Genomic DNA, 19,399 nt, shown 5'->3' on the forward strand with positions numbered 1-19,399 from the left:
TTCATTATTAATTATCTTTTTTTTCCTACTTGCATGGAGGAAAAGTTCTTTTTTCTTTTCCTTACCTCTCCCCCAAAACATATGCACACACACATACACACCACACACACAAAGACTTGTGCACAGACTCGGGCTGCTTGCGACAGGTTTGAGGGAGCGAAAAGAAAAAGAAGAGCTGGGCTCCTGAATGGAGGGAGGAGACACTGAGTGGATAAAGTAAGGAGAAAGAATGGAGAAAGGTAGGCTAGAGTCACCAAATGAAAAGATATAAGAGTCAGCTTCAAGTTTTTCTAAGTGGACAAGGAATTCAAATATTCCAGGTAGGGGAATTTTGTGGGGGAGGGAGGGATAATTTTCAACACACTTCTCAGAAATTGTACCAGAAACGTGAAAATAAAGTTGCTGATTGATTGACAGCCTTGCAAGGTAGAAAGCTCATAAAGAACAGACAAAGGTAATAGAGATGGCTATGTGGTCAGTGTCCTAACAGCAGGCATTTGGTGATGAAAGTAATAACCTGTGAGATAAAGATGAATATAGATGAAGAAAATGTGGATAAAGACAAAGATTGAAATTGCAAAAAGAGTCAAGATCAAGATAAGGGCCAGGCGCAGTGACTCATGCCTGTAATCCCAGCACTTTGGGAGGCCGAGGTGGGCGGATCACGAGGTCAGGAGATCAAGACCATCCTGGCTAAAACGGTGAAACCCCATCTCTACTAAAAACAAAAAAAATTAGCCAGGCATGGTGGCAGGCAGCTGTAGCTCCAGCTACTCAGGAGGCTGAGGCAGGAGAATGGCGTGAACCTTGGAGGCAGGTCTTGCAGTGAACCAAGATCGCACCACTGCACTCCAGCCTGGGCGATCGAGCAAGACTCCGTCTCAAAAAAAAAAAAAAAAAAAAAAAAAGTCAAGACAAGATTCAGAGAAACAAGCTAGAAGAGAGAATAGAAGGAGGAAGTGATAGTAGAAAGAAGTTCACCTCAATAATAAAACTAGATCTAAAGATATAAACAGAAAAACAGGTGGAATGAGATACATTCAAAGGGTGATGAGTGGTGTAAAAAATTAGGTACAACAAGAAGTATGTAGAGAAAGAATTAAAAGATGAGAGAAAAATGGAGGCAAGAAGGGGGAAGTGTAAATGGGAGAGAAGAGAATGATGGAGAAATTGTAGGATCTGAAATGACCATGAGATAAAAGCAACTTTAGCACAAGGCATGATTCACAATAGCAGTAAGTTTTCAGAATAAGGTGTCCCCTGGCCCCTCTGACTCACCCAGATTAAAAAAGGCCTCACCCAGGCATTTCATCCACTCCTGTGATTTCAGTCACCACCCACAACCTCATGATTCCTACATGTGTATCTCCAGCCAGCCCTGTCTTCTAAACTCATTCATCCAAGTGTCAGAAGGCTCCTGTTGGAGATTCTGAAGGCCTTAGACTTCACCACTTGGATGTTACTCAAGACCTTCAAACTTAACACCTCCAAAACTGAGCACATCATCTTTTTCCCTAAAACCAGCCTTTGCTCCTCCAGTGTTCTTCATCACTGAAACAAACTATTAATTGACCCTTTATTTCAAGATGAAATTCTCAGGGTTATTTATGAACAGAAGGGAAAAATACAGTGAGGAACCACAAAAGAAAAAGAGATTTCAGATGTAGAGCCCATCCCTTAATTTAGCTGTGGGGAGTGGGCAGTCACTAATGTTGGGGGGAAGGAGAATCTTTGAAGGGGAGTGGGCACAAATAAAAATGTTTACAAATCACAATTTAGGATCACAGCCACAAGAACCTGAAAATAAGAAGTGCTCCTGTGTCATGTGTTTTCCAAAAGGTGTGCCAAGAAGCCAAGAAGCAAGGACTGAAAGTAGTCAAGCATCTGACATGATGGGTAAGGCTACCCTAGGGTCTTGGGATGGAAGTGGCTCAGTGGATATCACAGACACTGGGTAGGGATGTGGGAAGTGATCAGAGTTGAAGCAAAGCATGAAACAGCCTCTGGATCACCAACAGGAAGTGGGCCCACAGGCCCCAAGCTTCAGAATTTCAAAAGTCTGAAATCATAGTCCCGGTTTCCTGCTGCACTTGACTGTGAGCAGACTGTGACAAAGAACAGGTTTGGTGCCGCCAGAATCCTGTTCTCTACATTTGCTTAACCCGACCCTTTTGGGAACTGCAGGGAGGCAAGAGATCATTATAAAGCCATATTTAACAGAATGGGCTCTCTTGGTTAGGTGGTAAAAAAATACACTGGTAAACATAGTAGTATCTCACTATATTAGCATATCAATAGTAAAGTGTTGAATTTATAAAGCGAGTTCCATCCTTGTTCTTGAAAAAAAAAAAAAGAAAACATGTTCTTCCACTCACAGGTAATAGTGTCATTTTGTCACAACTTTGGAAAGGCCTAAAAAGACAAATAGTCCTGCTACCTGTCAGGAAAGAAAAATCAGATACCTACTCTTATGCTAAAAATACATTGTTTTGAAAGATATCCTCTGGACTGTTATTGATTTATATAGTGATTTCCTATTAACTCTTGCAAGTAAGATATTTAATATTCATAAAAATTTTAAAGCTGAACAGGATAACCGTTGCTGTCCCTGTTTCATAAATGAGGAAATTGGTGCATAAAAGTAATGAAGAGCTGTTTCAAAGTCTCAGAGAACTAGACGAAGACCTTAGACATCAATTCAGTGTCTGTTTCCTTTGGAAGGAAGACAGATAAATTATACTCAGAATATTGTTATAAACGCAAGCCTTCCATGCAGTGTGAATTGTCATAAGATTTATAAATTTTACTTATAAATTACAGTTCTCTGACCACTACCTGTCACTTTCTAGATACCATGGATGTTGAAAACAATTCTACTTTGGAAAAACACAGTGGGAAAAGAAGTAAGAACAAATAAGAATTTACTTAATTTTTATGTTACAAATGAACTATTTTTTAATGCTAAGGTTTATTATCATCATTTTCTTTTTTCAACTTTTATTATAGATTAAAGGGTGCATTTGCAGGTTTGTTACATGGGTAAATTGTGTGATGCTGAGGCTTGGTGTCCCAAAAATCCCATCACCCAGGCAGTAAGCATAGTACCCAACAGATGGTTCTTCAGCCCATGCCACCCTCTCCCCCTGCCCCATCTAGTGGTCCCCAGTGTCTCTTGTTCTCATCTTCACATTTATGTGTATTCGATGTTTAGCTTCCACTTGTAAGTAAGAACATGCAGTATTTGGTTTTCTGTTCTTGCATTAAGTTGCTTAGGATAATGGCCTCCGCTCCATCCATGTTGCTGCGAAGGGTGTGATTTCATTCTTTTTATGGCTGCATAGTATTTCATGGTGTATATGTGTGCCACATTTTCTTTATCCAATTCACTGTTGATGGGCAACTAGATTGGTTCCGTGTCTTTGCTTTTGTGAATAGCACTATAAGGAACATATGAGTGCGTGTATCTTTTTGATAGAACAAGTTATTTTCCTTTGGGTATATACCTAAAGGTAGTGGGATTGCTGGGTAGAATGGCATTTCTGTCTTTAAGTCTTTGAGGAATTGCCACACTGTCTTCCACAATGGTTGAACTAATTTTACCCTCCCACCAACAGTGTATGAGCATTCCTTTTCCTCCACAACCTCACCAGCATCTGTTATTTTCTTGACTTTTTAATAATAGCCACTCTGAGTAGTGTGAGATGGTATCTCACTGTGATTCTGATTTGCATTTATCTGATGATTAGTAATGTTGGGCATTTTTTTCATGTTTGTTGACCACTTGTATGTCTTCTTTTGAGAAGTGTCTGTTCATGTCCTTTGCCCATTTTTTAATTGGATTTTGTTTTTTGCTTGTTGATTTGTTTAAGTTCCTTGTAGATTCTGGATATCAGACCTTCGTTATATGCACAGTTTGCAAAAATTTTCTCCCATTCTGAAGGCTGTCTGTTTACTCTTTTGGTAATTTCTTTTGTTGTACAGAAGCTATTTAGTTTAACTGGGTCCCACTTGTCAGTTTTTGTTTGAGTTGCAATTGCTTTTGGAGACTTAGCCATAAATTCTTTGCCAAAGCCTATGTCAGGAAGGGTATTTCCTAGGTTTATTCTAGGATTTTTATAGTTTTAGGTCTTACATTTAAATCTTTAATCCATCTTGAGTTAATTTTTGTATAGGATGAGAAGTATGGGTCCAGTTTCGTTTTTCTTCGTATGTCTAGCCAGTTATTCCAGCATCATTTATTGAATAGACAGTCCATTTCCCATTGCTTATTTTTGTTGATTTTGTTGAAGATCAGATGGTTGTAAGTGAGCAGGTTTGTTTCTGAGTTCTCTGTTCTGTTCCACTGGTCTATGTGTCTGTTTTTGTACCAGTACCATGCCATTTTGATTACTGTAGCCTTATAGTATAGTTAGAAGTTGGGCAACGCGATGCCTCTAGCTTTGTTCTTTTTGTTTACAATTGCTTTGGCTATTCAGGCTCTTTTATGGTTCCAACTGAGTTTTAGAATAGATTTTTCTAATTCTGTGAAAAATGACGCTTTTATTTTAATAAGGATGGTGTTGAATCTATAAATTGATTTAAACAGTATAGTCATTCAAACTGTATTGATTCTTCCAATCCATGAGCATGGAATAATTTTCTATTTATTTGTGCTATCTCTGATTTCTTTCAGCAGTGTTTTGTACTTCTTCTTGTAGATATCTTTCACCTCCTTGGCTGGATGAATTCCTAGGGATCTCATTTTCTTTATGGCTATTGTAAATGGGACTGTGTTCTTCATTTGATTCTCAGCTAGAACGTTTTTAGTGTATAAAGATGCTACTGATTTTTATGCATCGATTTTGTATTCTGAAACTTTACTAAATTTGTCAGTTCCAGGAGCATTTTTTTCTACTCCTTTCATAAGATAAAACCTGAATGCCTTTTAAAGTAGCCATTTATTTTTTTCAAAATGCTCATGTTGCTTTATTCTGTCTTCATCTTGCTTTTCATTCTGATTTGAAAATAGATGTTCTTGTGAACATTGGTGTCTATCTTTCCAGAATTTTACTATGCATGTATTAACACGTTTTGGAATATAGTTTTATTTAAATGAGTAACTCTGTACACACTTGTCCTTTCTTGCTTTTTAAACTAATATACCTGGACAATAAAAACGTTTTAAATTGAAATATAAAAAGTCTTATTTCAGAGCTGCTTTAATGTGCATTGTTTTCATTTTTAGTGTCGTCAGGAATTTTTCATTTATTATCGGTCATTTCTTTTTCTTCTTCATAAAACTCTTTGTCAGAGAATGCTCTGTGTTTCTTTGTTTTGTTTTGTTGTGTTTTTGTTTATTTTTGACGGAGTCTTGCACTGTTGCTCAGGCTGGAGCACAGTGGTGTGATCTCGGCTTACTGCAAGCTCTGCCTCCCAGGTTCACACCATTCTCCTGCCTCAGCCTCCCGAGTAGCTAGGATTACAGGTACCTGCCACCACACCCGGCTAATTTTTTGTACTTTTAGTAGAGTCGGTGTTTCACTGTGTTAGCCAGGATGGTCTCGATCTCCTGACCTTGTGATCTGCCTGCCTCGGCCTCCCAAAGTGCTGGGATTACAGGCATGAGCTACCACGCCCGGCCCTCTCAGTGTTTTAAGTCATGGTGTTTTTCTTATTATTCTGAATGAATATAGAACTCTTAAATATTATATATATTAAATCTTGGTCATATACGTTGCTAGTATTTTGTCCATTTGTTGTTTTTCTTTTAGATTTGTTAAGGGAATCTTTTGTCCTAGAGAAGTTTTAAATTTTTATGTAGTCAAATTTGTCAGCCTTTTTCTGACTGGTTCTTGGGTTCCATATCATATTTACAACAGCTATTTCTTCCTCAATATTTTAAAAATATTGTTTTATATTTGATTCTAGAAGTTTGATATAACTGATCATTTTTAATGTTTACATATGTAATCTACAGGGGGTTTGCCTTTCTGTGTAAGTGAGGTGGGAATTTTAAAAATATTCTCCACACTATGGCATGGTGACATGGTGATTTGAATCACCACTTTGATTACACACTGCCTTTACCTGTCTATATTCTATGTTCTTCTTTTGTAATTGAAGGCACTACAGAAAAGAAAGAAGAGCTCAGAGGTAGAACCATCCTGATGCTTCATTGGGGTGAATTTTAGAATGAGCTCAAGAAGATCTCTCCCAACTCCTTCCCAAGTCCATTGAAAGCTCTGATCAGAAATGCATTGAACTGGCTAGGCATCATGGCTTATGCCTATAATCCCAGTTTCTCAGGAGGCTGAGGCAGGAGTATTGCTTGAACCCGGGAGGCAGAGGTTGCAGTGAGCTGAGACTGCACCACTGCACCCCAGCCTGGGTGACAGAACAAGACCCTGTCTCAAAACAAAACAAACAAAAAAAAAAGCATTGAATTTGAAGGTTAATTTGGGAAGAACAGAGACTTTTACTCTTTTATTCATGTCTTATGTAATGTTCTTCCACTAAAAATTTTTTTGTACAATTCTGGCATTTTAAAAAAGTTTTATACATTGTATAAATTTATGTGTTGCTATGAATATCTTTTTTTCTATTACATAATAACTGGAGGGAATTTAAATGAGACAAGACTCTCAAAATCTTTATTTAAAAGGAAATCTGTAGTCAATTTATTACCTACTTGCATATGAGAGAATCAGAATGCCACTTAGTTAATATAAAATTTTACAAGCATTTATAAGTTTAGGGATCCAGATGTCACTTAAAATATTATGGCCAGGCCCAAAAATTATCAAATAAAACCATCGATCAGAATTACAGGTTTCTTTGGAAACTGGTTTCATGAGAAGTGGCAGTAATTTTCTATTTTGTGGGATTATTACAAGACCTCTTCAAATAGCTCTCCTAAGGACAAGTTTATGTTAACATAGAACAGAACAAATCAGTAACGGTTATGAAAAGACACACTTCCATATTTTGCAAGAGAGTAAGACTGATCTTCTTTTGAAATTTCTCAATTTAACACTTTGTCAAATCAGATTCTTTATGTTAGTCTTGTGGTGCAGAATGTCCTCTCTCCTTCCACAACTATGGGTCGAGGGGCCTTTCCTTTCATCTCCTTCAGCAATTTCTTTTGTTAGTTATGAAGACTTACATTTTTAAAATCTGGTCAGTGGAATTCATTAGTTAGCCTTACAAGAAATGTAAGCCCGTGGAGCTCAATGTTACTGGGAAAAATAGAGGTGCCTGAAATGAATTTCACCTAAAAACAGTGAAATAGGATGCATAAAGATTTTTTTTTTCTTTTGAGATGGAGTCCAGCTCTGTCACCCAGGCCAGAGTGCAGTGGTGCAATCTCGGCTCACTGCAACTTCTGCCTCCCGGATTCAAGCAATTCTCCTGTCTCAGCCTCCTGAGTAGCTAGGACTACATGTGCCCACCACCATGCCTGGCTAATTTTTGTATTTTTAGTAGAGATGAGGTTTCACCATATTGGTTAGGCAGGTTTTGAACTCCTGACCTCAGGTGATCCACCCGCCTTGGCTTCCCAAAGTGCTGGGATTACAGGCGCGAGCCACCGTGCCCGGCCTAGGATGCATATAGATTTTTCAACTACAGCTCTCCCACATTCTCCATTCTGAATGAGCTCCAGATCCCATATCATTTTATTTTCAGATTTCCTTTCTGTCTTGTCTTCACCTAAATACATAACGTGAAGTTAGTTCAGTATTTAGGTGAAGATGCTGATGGTGTCTTTCTTTTAACACTACATCTTGTGTAATATTTTATAGGCATTGCTACTGTTTATAGGCTAATTATTATTCCCAGCATCATTAAAATACTTTCTGCATTTTATTTTCTTTTATCTCAAAATACTGATGGCCTTTCTTTATACCACTTCCATTTGCCAGACCTCATCCTATGGACCTCATCACGCTTCCCTTTTTATTGTTCTACTTATCTATTTCACACTCCCAACCCTCCCACAACTTTTCTTTCCTTGTAAATTAGACCACAGCTGTACTAAAGACTCAGTCTTCCTTCAGGGTACCTGTTTTGGGTTAGGACGTACAAACAGGCTTCAAAACTGTCCATCACTATTGGAGTAAAATAGGAAATCCAGTGAAATGGAAGAAACAGCCAGATTTAAAGCGATCCCCCAACCAATAGTGTGGAAGGCTTCAGCACAGATGCCAAGATTTTGAGAGATTTTGGCCAAGCCCATGCTCACAGTGAAGATGGTGGAATGTTTTTCGTTGGAGATGAAGTCACCATAGCTCAGTCTATAGGACATGGCAAGACAATTCACAGTGACTCCCAGTTCCACAGGATAAGGCAGTGTGCTCAGAGCCTGCAATAGTCTTTCTAGAGCATGATTTGGGCATCTTGACCAATGAAGGACAGGATTCATGGCTTACTCTCTGACTTTTTGTCAGGCCTCTCCTCAAATGCTGACTTATGAGAAGTTCTTCCTGGCTCTTCTACATAAAATAACACATCCTCCTCCCACACACACTTCTAGCCCCATTCACCACTCCCTGAAGTTCTTATTCTGGTTTACTTTTCCACAAAACACTCTGCCATCTTCTGTGTTTATTTCTTCATTGCTGTCTCCCCACTAGACCATAAGCTCTACGCCAGCAAGGACTTTGTTTTATTCACAACTGTATCCTCAGCATCTAGGATAGTGGGTTGATTCACAGTAAGTGCCCGATTAATAGTTATTGGATGAGTAATTTGCATGAATAAATTAATTCTACCAGCTTGTGAAAATCTAATCCAAATATATGATTGTACAAAATATGTACTTAAAGCAAGCAAAGAAAAAACATTAAAAATAAAAGGATGGGTAAAGAAATGTCAAGACCTATAAATTAGAAGATCAGGGATTTTTCATTGCTTGCTCTTTGTCATAAGTAATCACATGGTAATCAATATTGTCAGCTAATTCAGGTTCCCTGTGGATCTCATTTATGGGGGCCAGTCTGCTTCTTGACTACATGTTCTCAGTAGGCAGCTGGGCTTCTCCCTAGGAGGACTGTACAGATTGATCAAGGGTGGATGTCCTGCTGGCTTCACAGATGAGGTAGGGGGTAGACGGCAGGTGTGTAGAGCAATGCTGGAAGGGGAGGCAAATCTCCTGCCAGGAGCCTGAGGTCTGAGGCCTGAAAAGATCTGTTTCCAAAAAGCTGGTTCCTCCAGTCAAAGAGATCGAGCTGGTGTGGCTTGTCTGAGAATGGCCTTCAGTGATCACCTGCTCATGGCCTTTCTGACTGGAAGTTGTGGCTGCCCTTTGCCTCTTAACACCTGGCACGTATTGGCATGACCGTGATCAGGTGAGTGAGCTGGGAGAAGGTGGTCTCCTTTGGGCCATGTGGATGGATGCATTCTCTTCTCTTGTCTTCTGGAACACCCCAATCTCCTACTGGCTAATATAGCTCCTTCCTGGTCATTTGCTGGTGATGTTGGTGGTAGTGTGGATAGTGGTAGTATTGGTGGTGGTGGTGGTGGTGGTGGTGGTGGTGGTGTTGGTCCCTTCGTGGCTTCCTGATGTCTACGTATTGGAGTGCCCCACGGATTGGACCTGAGTGCTTTCCTTGTCTCTATACTCTCTCCCTAGGAATTGCATCCAGTCCTGTTCTTTAAATTTTATCAATATGTGAATGACTACCAATTATATTTCTTTTCTTCTCTCTCTCCTCAACTGCGAAGTCATAAATTCAACTTCTTACTCCAAACTTCTACCTGAAGTCTAACAGGTGTCTTAAATCTGATGTGTCAAGCACATTTCTTGATTCTCATTCCCAAACTTGTCATCCTCATCAGTAATCCTCATCTCAGTAAATGGCACTACATTTACTAAGTTTGAGCCAAAAATGTAGAAGGTGTGCTTGATTTCCCTCTATGCTAACCCCTCGCACTCTCTCTATCATCAAGTTCCAAGACTATATATCAGATTTGTCCATTCTTTATCTCCCCTGCCACTGCCCCGGCCCAAGCCCTATTATCTTGCATGTGGAATACCGCAGAGTCCTCCTAAATGGTCTCTCTGCTTTCATTCTTGCCCACTAGAACCTATTCTCCATTCAGCAGTTGGCCACCCAACTGCTATATCCTTTCAGTGGTTTTCAGTCGAACCTAGAAAAGTTTCCAGTTGAACCTAGAAAAAAAAGTCTAAACTTCTTACTGTGCCTATGAAGCATTACAAAGGCTGCCCCTGATCAGCTCTTAAACCTCATCCTTTATGATTCCCCCTCACTTGCTACTCTGGCCTTCCTTGAATAAACCAAGTAGTGTTCAGCCTCAGAACCCTTGCACTTCGTGTTGACTCTACATAAGATGCTTTTACCTGGTAAGAATGGTTTCCTCTTATTCATGTTTCAGCTCAGGTGTCTCCTCCATGGAGAGGCCTTGCCTGATCTCCATATTTTTTTAATTATTATACTTTAAGTTTTAGGGTACATGTGCACATTGTGCAGGTTAGTTACATATGTATACATGTGCCATGCTGGTGCGTTTCTTAAAAACTCCCCCAGCCTCTTTGATATCACCTTTTGACCTGTCTTTTCACTTGATTGTAAGTTTTTGATGTACGGAATATTTTATCCTTGTGTAATTGGTCTGTTTTATCATTTATAATTATTTTTTTAATCTTGTTTAAGAAATCTTGGCCTAATCTCAGGTTACCAAGATATTTTAATACTTTTCTTACTTTATTGAACATCTTGACCAATAAAGTCAGATCCAGTGAATAAATACTCTCGCTTCCATTCCTAAGATGGGCAGCCTGAGGATCATTCATTATGGTTCTTCAGAGAGTCCCCAGCAAGAGTGAGGCTCAGTTGACCACACTGGTGACCAGCCCAATTGGCTTCCCTTCTCATCCTTTCCCTCTTCCTGGTTCCTCACTCCTAATCCTTGTGATCACTTGAAAAATAAACCTACTGAGAACAAAACCCTATCTCAAGATTTGCTTTTGGGAATATTAGGTGGAGACATTCTTATTTTTTTTCTCATTTGGATATTTAATTCTTTTAGAATTGATTTTTTTTTTTTAGTGTGGCATAATGTAAGGGTCTAATTTTTACCAACCTGGATAACCATTTCTTCTAGCTTCTCCACTGATGTGTAATGTCACACATAACATGCATCAAGCTGCCATTTACATATATATATATATAGGGTTTATTTCTGGGCTTTCTAGTCTGATCCATTGCCCTATCTATTCTGCATCAATACATATCACACTCTAGTAAATACTAAAATTTTATAACGTATTAATATCAGGTAGGGTAAGTTCTCTCAACTTTTTTCTCTTTCAAAATTGTCTTGGCTATTACAGCCATTTTATCATTCTTATAACTTTTAATATCATTTTGTCAACCCTTGAAAACCCTGTTGAATTTTTATTGAAATTGCATAGAATAAATGTGGAGAGAACTGACGTCTCTAAAATATTGACCGTTTCTATTCACGAACATAGAGATATCTCACTATTTATTCTTTCCTTTTTAGACCCTTTATTCATTTATTCAGCAAATCCTTATTTCCAATGTTGCTCAATAGGGATAAAGAAGTGAGAAAAATCTCATCGAGCTTACATTCTACTTAGGGTATATAGACAGTACACAAATAAGTACATAATATTTCAGATAGTGACAATGTCATAAAGAAAAATAAAGAATAATGGAGGTGTACAGTGACAGAAATGTGCCATTTTATGTAGGGTGTCCAAGGAGAGCCTTGCTAACAAGCTGCATGTAACTCAAGATCTAAATGCAGTGAGGGACTAAGCCATGGAGCTGAGGCAGAGAAAACCTCAGTTGCAAAGACCTGAGAGAGGACTATACATGGTCCTTTAGGCAACGGCAAGGGAGACCACTGGCTGGAGAGGTAGAGAGGGGTTGGGCGGGAAGTGGTTTCTCAGAGGTATATAGAACTTATAGGCCATGGCAAAGACTTTGGATTCTTAAGTAAGAGAAGACATCAGAGAGTTTTGAGCTGGGGACTATAATCTGAATTACGTTGTGAGAACTTCCTCTGGATTCTACATGGATAATAGACTTTAGGAGGGCAAGGATGGGGCAGGAGTAAGGAGGCTATTGCAATGGTCTCGGAAGGGTGATGGTGAATTGGACTAAGTTGGTAGCAGTGGAAGCGTTCAAAAGTGGGTAGATTCTGAAAATGCAGATACGTGTGGGTATGTATTCATATACACATATACAGTCAATTCTCATTATTCCTGATAGTTATATTCTATAAAGTCACCATGAACATAGACTTAGCAAATATTGGACCATTGCTTCTAGTAGAAATACAGAATAAGGTTTTTCGAAGCCTCTGGTCATATTTTCCTCAACTGATAAATACATAACCTTGTTTTATATGTGTTTCTGTATAAAGACACCTTATGTAATATCACATTGATTTATTACTATTGAACTCATATCCAACAGCACTATATCTCATGCCTGAACAAAGCTCATCTAACACATGTACTTTCTGTCCCACGTCACAGCCTTCTTGTACTTAGGAACACTAGACAACTCTTCAGCATTACACTTGGGTGCCACTTTATATAGTGAAATTACCAACAAAAAGCACAAAAACGCACACAAAAAAGTGGCACTAAATAGACCACAAACGGACTCTTGTTTACAGTGTGAACGCTGAAACAAGAAGGCAAAGCATCACCTTGTTTGACCTCAGCTAAGAGCATGCATAGGTGACTCAAATAATTTGCCACACTGCATGTCTGCAAATGACCAGGGAAGTGCCACGAGTATTGATTGGAGGGTTCACATAAATTTGAACTAATAGACAAATTTGCAGATTTGGAATCTGTGAATAATGAAGATTGTGTGCCAATTAGCTTTACTCAACTTTTTAAAAATCTATTGGTACTTTTAGTGGGATTGTGTTAAATTTATAAATAAACATAGGGAGAACTCCCATCTTTATGATGCTAGACTGCCTCCCCAAGAACACGCCATGATGATCGATTTGTTCAAGGGTCCTCTGTGCCCTCAGTGGAACTTTTACATTTATTTCCTGCATGTGGGTGGGTGATGCAGACTTTCTTTACACTTAGTCTGAGCTTTGGTGGCAGTGTGCTTTCGTTGTTATTATAAATGAGGTCTTCCCTTGCATTATATCTTTTAACTGGTTTTTACTCCCATATAGGAAAGCTACTCATTTCTATATCTTAATTTTGAAACTTACTAAATTTTCCTATTATGATAGTATATTTTTAATTGCTTCCCTTGGGTTTTCCAGGTATATAATCATACAATCTGCTTTACTTTTTTGTGCTTGTTCTAACTTTTCCGAGGCATATGTTTAATTCAACTGGTGTCTTTTTTTCCCACTGGTTCATTATTTAAGGCTATTTATTGGTTTGGTTTGGTTGTTTTTGGAGATAGGGATCCTGGTATGTCACTCAGGCTGGAGTGCAGTGGTGTAATCATAGGTCACTACAGCCTTGAACTCCTCAGCTTAAGTGATCTTCCTGCTTCAGCCTCCCAAGTAGCTGGGATACAGGCACATGGCACCAGGTCCCAATATTTTATTTTATTTTATTTTATTTTATTATTTATTTTATTTTAGAGATGGGGTATCACTATGTTGCCTAGGCTGGTCTTGAACTCCTGGTCTCAAATGATACACCCATCTTAGCCTCCCAAGTAGCTGGGATGACAGGCATGAGCTACCACACCCAGCTAAGACTTTTCCCCTCCCTTTGGGCACTATATTAACAGTCTTCCATAGCTTCTCATAGGCAATGTTTTTTATTATTGTCATTTGCTAAATATCCTGCAATTTGTATTTGCATTTCCTCTTTGACTCAGTTATTTAAGAGAGGGTGGGGAAAATGTGTATACTCTATTTTCTGGCTATGGAGTTCAACATGTATCAATCATATTGATCCTGTTAAACAAATAATTTGGGTCTTCCATCCTTTTCTGTTTTCTACACTGATCTCTCATGGGCTAAAAGAAACAAAAATAAAGTCTTCTATTAATAGTGTGTTTCTACCCATTTCTTATTGCATCTCCTATAATTTCTACTTTCTTAAAACTTTTTGGCCTGAATTACATGGTCCCTGATTTCTTTTATTGATGTATACTGAATATATCTTTGCCTATATATTTATTTTCAATGTTTTGTATGTTTTTAAATGAGTCTTGTATACATGATAAAATGTTGGGTTTTACTTTGTAATTCAGTCTCTCAAAATTTCTTTTTTAAATAAGTGAGTTAAGCCCATTTACTTTTATTGATAGAACCAAGACGTTTGATCTTGTTTTAGTCACATTGGTTTATATTATATGTTCTAGGGATTTGGGTTTTTTAAAAGTCAACACTCTGCATTCTGTCTTCTATTCATTTTATGTGCATGTGTGTACTTCTGATACTAAGGAAGATTTGCATTTTTCTTCTAGTGGTTACAACTAGCTAGTGGCTACCTAGCTGAGACTATCTGTATTAGTCCATTCTCACACTGTTGTAAAGATCTACCTGAGACTGGGTAATTTATTTTAAAAAAAAGAGGTATAATTGACTCACAGTTCCACATGGCTGGGAGGCCTCAGGAAACTTACAATTACAGCGGAAGGTGAAGGGGAAGCAAGCACATCTTACCATGGCAACCCAGGAGAGAGGGTGAGCTACGGGGAAGTGCCACATTTTTTTTTATGTTCCGGGGTACATGTGCAGAATGTGCAGGTTTGTTACATAGGTATACATGTGTCATGGTGGTTTGCTGTACTGATTGACCCATCCTCTAGGTTCACTCCCCTCACCTTCCACCCCACAACAGGCCCTATGTGTTCCCCTCCCTGTGTCCATGTGTTCTCATTGTTCAACTCCCACTTATGAGTGAGAACATACAGTGTTTGGTTTTCTGTTCCTGGGTCAGTTTGCTGAGGATGATTGCTTCCAGCTTCATCCATGTCCCTGCAAAGCACATGATCTCATTCCTTTTTATGGCTGCATAGTAGTCCATGGTGTAGATGTACCACATTTTCTTTATCCAGTCTATCATTGTTGGGCATCTGGTTTGGATCCATGACTATGCTATTACAAATAGTGCTGCAATAAACATAGACGTGTGCATGTGTCTTTATAGTAGAATGACTTATATTCCTTTGGGTATATACCCAGTAATGGGATTGCTAGGTCAAATGGTATTTCTGGTTCCAGATCCTTGAGGAATCACCATACTGTCTTCCACAATGGTTGAACTAATTTACATTCCCATCAACAGTGTAAAAGTGTTCCTATTTATTCACAGCCTCACCAGCATCTGTTGTTTCTTGACTTTTTAATAATTGCCATTCTGACTGGTGTGAGATGGTAACTCACTGTGGTTTTGATTTGCGTTTCTCTAATGTTCAGTGATGTTGAGCTTGTTTTCATGTTCATTGGCCACGTAAATGTCTTCTTTTGAGAAGTGTCTGTTCATATCCTTTGTCCACTTTTTGATGGTTTTGTTTTTTCTTGTAAATTTGTTAAAGTTCCTCATAAATTCTGGATATTAGACCTTTGTCAGATGGATAGATTGCAAAAATTTTCTCACATTCTGTAGGTTGCCTGTTCATTCTGATGATAGTTTCTTTTGCTGTGCAGAAGCTCTCTAGTTTAATTAGATCCCATTTGTCAATTGTTGCTTTTGTTGCAATTGCTTTTGGCATTTTTGTCATGAAGTCTTTGCCCATGCCTGTGTCCTCAGTGTTTTGCCTATGTTTTCTTCCAGGGATTTTATGGCTTTGGGTTATACATTTTAAGTCTTTAATCCATCCTGAGTTAATTTTTGTGTAAGGCATAAGCAAGGGGTCCAGTTTCAGTTTTCTGCATATGGCTAGCCAGTTTTCCCAACACCATTTATCAAATAGGAGATCCCTTCCCCATTACTTGTCTTTGTCAGGTTTGTCAAAGATCAGATGGTTGCAGATATGCGGTGTTATTTCTGAGGTCTCTGTTCTGTTCCATTGGTCTATATGTCTGTTTTGGTACCAGTACCATGGGGGTGTTTTGGTTACTGTAGCCTTGTAGTATAATTTGACATCAAGTAGGCTGATGCCTCCAGCTTTGTTCTTTTTGCTTAGGATTGTCTTGACTGTATGGGGTCTTCTTTGATTCCAAATGAAATTTAAAGTAGTTTTTTCTAATTCTGTCTAATTCTGTGAAGAATGTCAATGGTAGTTTGATGGGAATGGCATTGAATCTATAAATTACTTTGGGCAGTATGGCCATTTTCATGATATTGATTCTTCCTATCCATAAGGTTGGAATGTTTTTTCATTTATTCATGTCCTCTTTTATTTCCTTGAGCAGTGGTTTGTAGTTCTCCTTGAAGAGGTCCTTCACATCCCTTGTTAGCTGTATTCCTAGGTATTTTATTATCTTTGTAGTGAGTGTGAATGGGAGTTCATTCATGATTTGGCTCTCTGCTTGCCTACTGATGGTGTAAAGGAATGCTTGTGATTTTTGCACATTGATTTTGTATCCTGAGATTTTTCTGACATTCCTTATCAATTTAAGGAGTTTTGGGGCTCAGATGATGGGGTTTTCTAAATACAAAATCATGTCATCTGCAAGTACAGACAATCTGACTTCCCCTCTCCCGATTTGAATAGTCTTTATTTCTTTCTCTTGCCTGATTGCCCTGGCCAGAACTTCCAATACTATGTTGAACGGGAGTGGAGAGAGAGGGCATCCTTGTCTTGGGCCAGTTTTCAAAGGGAATGCTTCCAGCTTTTGCCCATTCAGTATGATATTGGCTGTGGGTTTGTCATAAATAGCTCTTATTATTTGGAGGTATGTCTCATCAATACCTAGTTTATTGAGAGTTTTTTTTGTTTGTTTGGGTTTTTGTTGTTTTTGTTGTTGTTGTTTTTTGAGACGGAGTCTCAGTCTGTTGCCCAGGCTGAAGTGCAGTGGCATGATCTCGGCTCACTGCAAGCTCCGCCTCCCAGGTTCACGGCATTCTCCCACCTCAGCCTCCCAAGTAGCTGGGACTACAGGCACCCGCCACCATGCCTGGCTAATTTTTAGCATTTTTAGTAGAGATGGGGTTTCACTGTGTTAGCCAGGACAGTCTCAATCTCCTGACCTCATGATCCAACCGCCTCGGCCTCCCAAAGTCCTGGGATTACAGGCGTGAGCCACAGCGCCCGGCCAAGAGTTTTTAACATGAAGGGATGTTGAATTTTTTCAAAGACCTTTTCTGCATCTATTGAGATAATCATGTGGTTTTTGTCTTTGGTTCTGTTTATGTGATGGATTACATTTATTGATCTACATATGTTGAACCAGCCTTGCATCCCAGGGATGAAGCCTACTTGATCATGATGGATATGTTTTTTAATGTACTGCTGGATTCAGTTTGCCAGTATTTTATTGAGAATTCTTGCATCAATGTTCATCAGGGATATTGGCCTGAAGTTTCCTTTTTTTATTGTGTTTCTCCTAGGTTTTGGTATCAGGATGATGCTGGCTTCATAAAATGAGTTAGGGAGGAGTCACTCCTTTTCAATTGTTTGGAATAGTTTCAGAAGGAAAGGTACCAGCTACTCTTTGTACCTCTGGTAGAATTCAGCTGTGAATCAGTCTGGTCCTGGGCTTTATTTTGTTGGTGGGCTGTTAATTACTGCCTCAATTTCAGAACTTGTTATTGGTTTATTCAGGGATTTGACTTCTTCCTGGTTTAGTCTTGGGAGGGTGTATGTTTCCAGGAATTTATCCATTTCTTCTAGATTTTCTAGTTTATTTGTGTAGAGGTGTTTATAGTATTCTCTGATGGTAGTTTGTATTTCTGTGGGGTCGGTGGTGATATCCCCTTTATCTTTTTTTATTGTGTCTATTTGATTCTTCTCTCTTTTCTTCTTTATTAGTCTATCTAGTGGTCTATCTATTTTGTTAATTTTTTCAAATAACCAGCTCCTGGTTTTTTTGGAGAGTTTTTCATATCTCTATCTCCTTCAATTCTGCTCTGATCTTAGTTATTTCTTGTCTTCTGCTAGCTTTTGGATTAGTTTGCTCTTGTCTCTCTGGCTCTTTTAATTGTGATATTAGGGTATAGATTTTAGATCTTTCTAGATTTCCGATGTGGGCATTTAGTGCTATAAATTTCCCTCTTAATACTGCTTTAGCTGTGTCCCAGAGATTTTGGTACGTTGTCTTTTTGTTCTCATTGGTTTCAAAGAACTTCTTGATTTCTGCCTTAATTTCATTATTTACCCAGGAGTCATTCAGGAGCAGGTTGTTCAATTTCCATGTAATTGTGTGGTTTTGAGTGAGTTTCTTAATCCTGAGTTCTAATTTGTTTGTGCTGTGGTCTGAGGGACTATTTGTTATGATTTCAGTTCTTTGCATTTGCTGAGGAGTATTTTACTTCCAATTATGTGGTCAATTTTAGAATAAGTACCATGTGACACTGAAAAGAACATATATTCTGTTGATTTGGGGTGGAGAGTTCTGTAGATGTCTATTAGGTCCACTTGATCCACAGCTGAGTTCAAGTCCTGAATATCCTTGTTAATTTTCTGTCTCATTGATCTGTCTAATATTGACAGTGGGGTGTTAAAATCTCCCACAATTATTATGTGGGAGTCTAAGGACTTGTTTTATGAATCTGGGTGCTCCTGTATTGGGTGCATATATATTTAGAATAGTTAGCTCTTCTTGTTGAATTTTTCCCTTTACCATTATGTAATGCCCTTCTTTGTCTTTTTTGATCTTTGTTGGTTTAAAGTCTGTTTTGTCAGAGACTAGGATTGCAACCTCTGCTTTTTTTTTGCTTTCCATTTGCTTGGTAAATTTTCCTCCATTCCCTTATTTTGAGCCTATGCATGTCTTTACAGGTGAGATGGGTCTCCTGAATACAGCACACCAATGGGTCTTGACTCTATCCAGTTTGCCAGTCTGTCTTTTAATTGGGGCATTTAGCCCATTTACATTTAAGGTTAGTATTGTTATGTGTGAATTTGATCTTGTCATCAAGATGCTATCTGGTTATTTTGCACACTAGTTGATGCAGTTTTTTCATAATGTCACTGGTCTTTATTTTTTAGGGTGTTTTTGCAGTGGCTGGTACTGGCTTTTTCTTTATTTTAGTGCTTCTTTCAGGAGCTCTTGCAAGGCAGGCCTAGTAGTAACAAAATCCCTCAGCATTTGCTTGTCTGAAAAGGATTTTATTCCCCCTTCACTTGTGGAGCTTAGTTTGGCTGGATATGAAATTCTGTATTGAAAATTTTTTTTTAAGAATGTTGAATATTGGCACCCAATCTCTTCTGGCTTGTAGAGTTTCTGTTGAGAGGTCTGCTGTTAGTCTGATGGGCTTCCCTTTGTAGGTGACCTGGCCTTTCTCTCTGGTCTTTCCTTCATTTGGACCTTGGAGAATCTGATGATT

The 19,399-nt window shown here is 38.6% G+C and overlaps 1 protein-coding gene and 1 long non-coding RNA gene across 4 annotated transcripts in view; one reads left to right on the forward strand and one right to left on the reverse strand.

Annotated features, from left to right (window-relative positions):
- SP100 (SP100 nuclear antigen) overlaps positions 1 to 19,399 on the forward strand; it is a 129,406-nt gene that overhangs the window by 55,344 nt on the left and 54,663 nt on the right. For all 3 annotated transcript variants that reach the window (NM_001080391.2, NM_003113.4, NM_001206701.2), the window contains exons 16-17: positions 1,780 to 1,896; positions 2,850 to 2,903. In NM_001080391.2, coding sequence (NP_001073860.1) covers positions 1,780 to 1,896; positions 2,850 to 2,903 — 171 coding nt within the window. The remainder of the gene's footprint in view (positions 1 to 1,779; positions 1,897 to 2,849; positions 2,904 to 19,399) is intronic.
- The window catches only part of LOC101928816 (uncharacterized), a 71,871-nt gene that overhangs the window by 30,110 nt on the left and 22,362 nt on the right, over positions 1 to 19,399 (reverse strand). The window lies entirely within an intron of this gene.

This window comes from Homo sapiens, chromosome 2 (genome assembly GCF_000001405.40).
Source record: "Homo sapiens chromosome 2, GRCh38.p14 Primary Assembly".
Taxonomy (NCBI): Eukaryota; Metazoa; Chordata; class Mammalia; order Primates; family Hominidae; genus Homo; species Homo sapiens.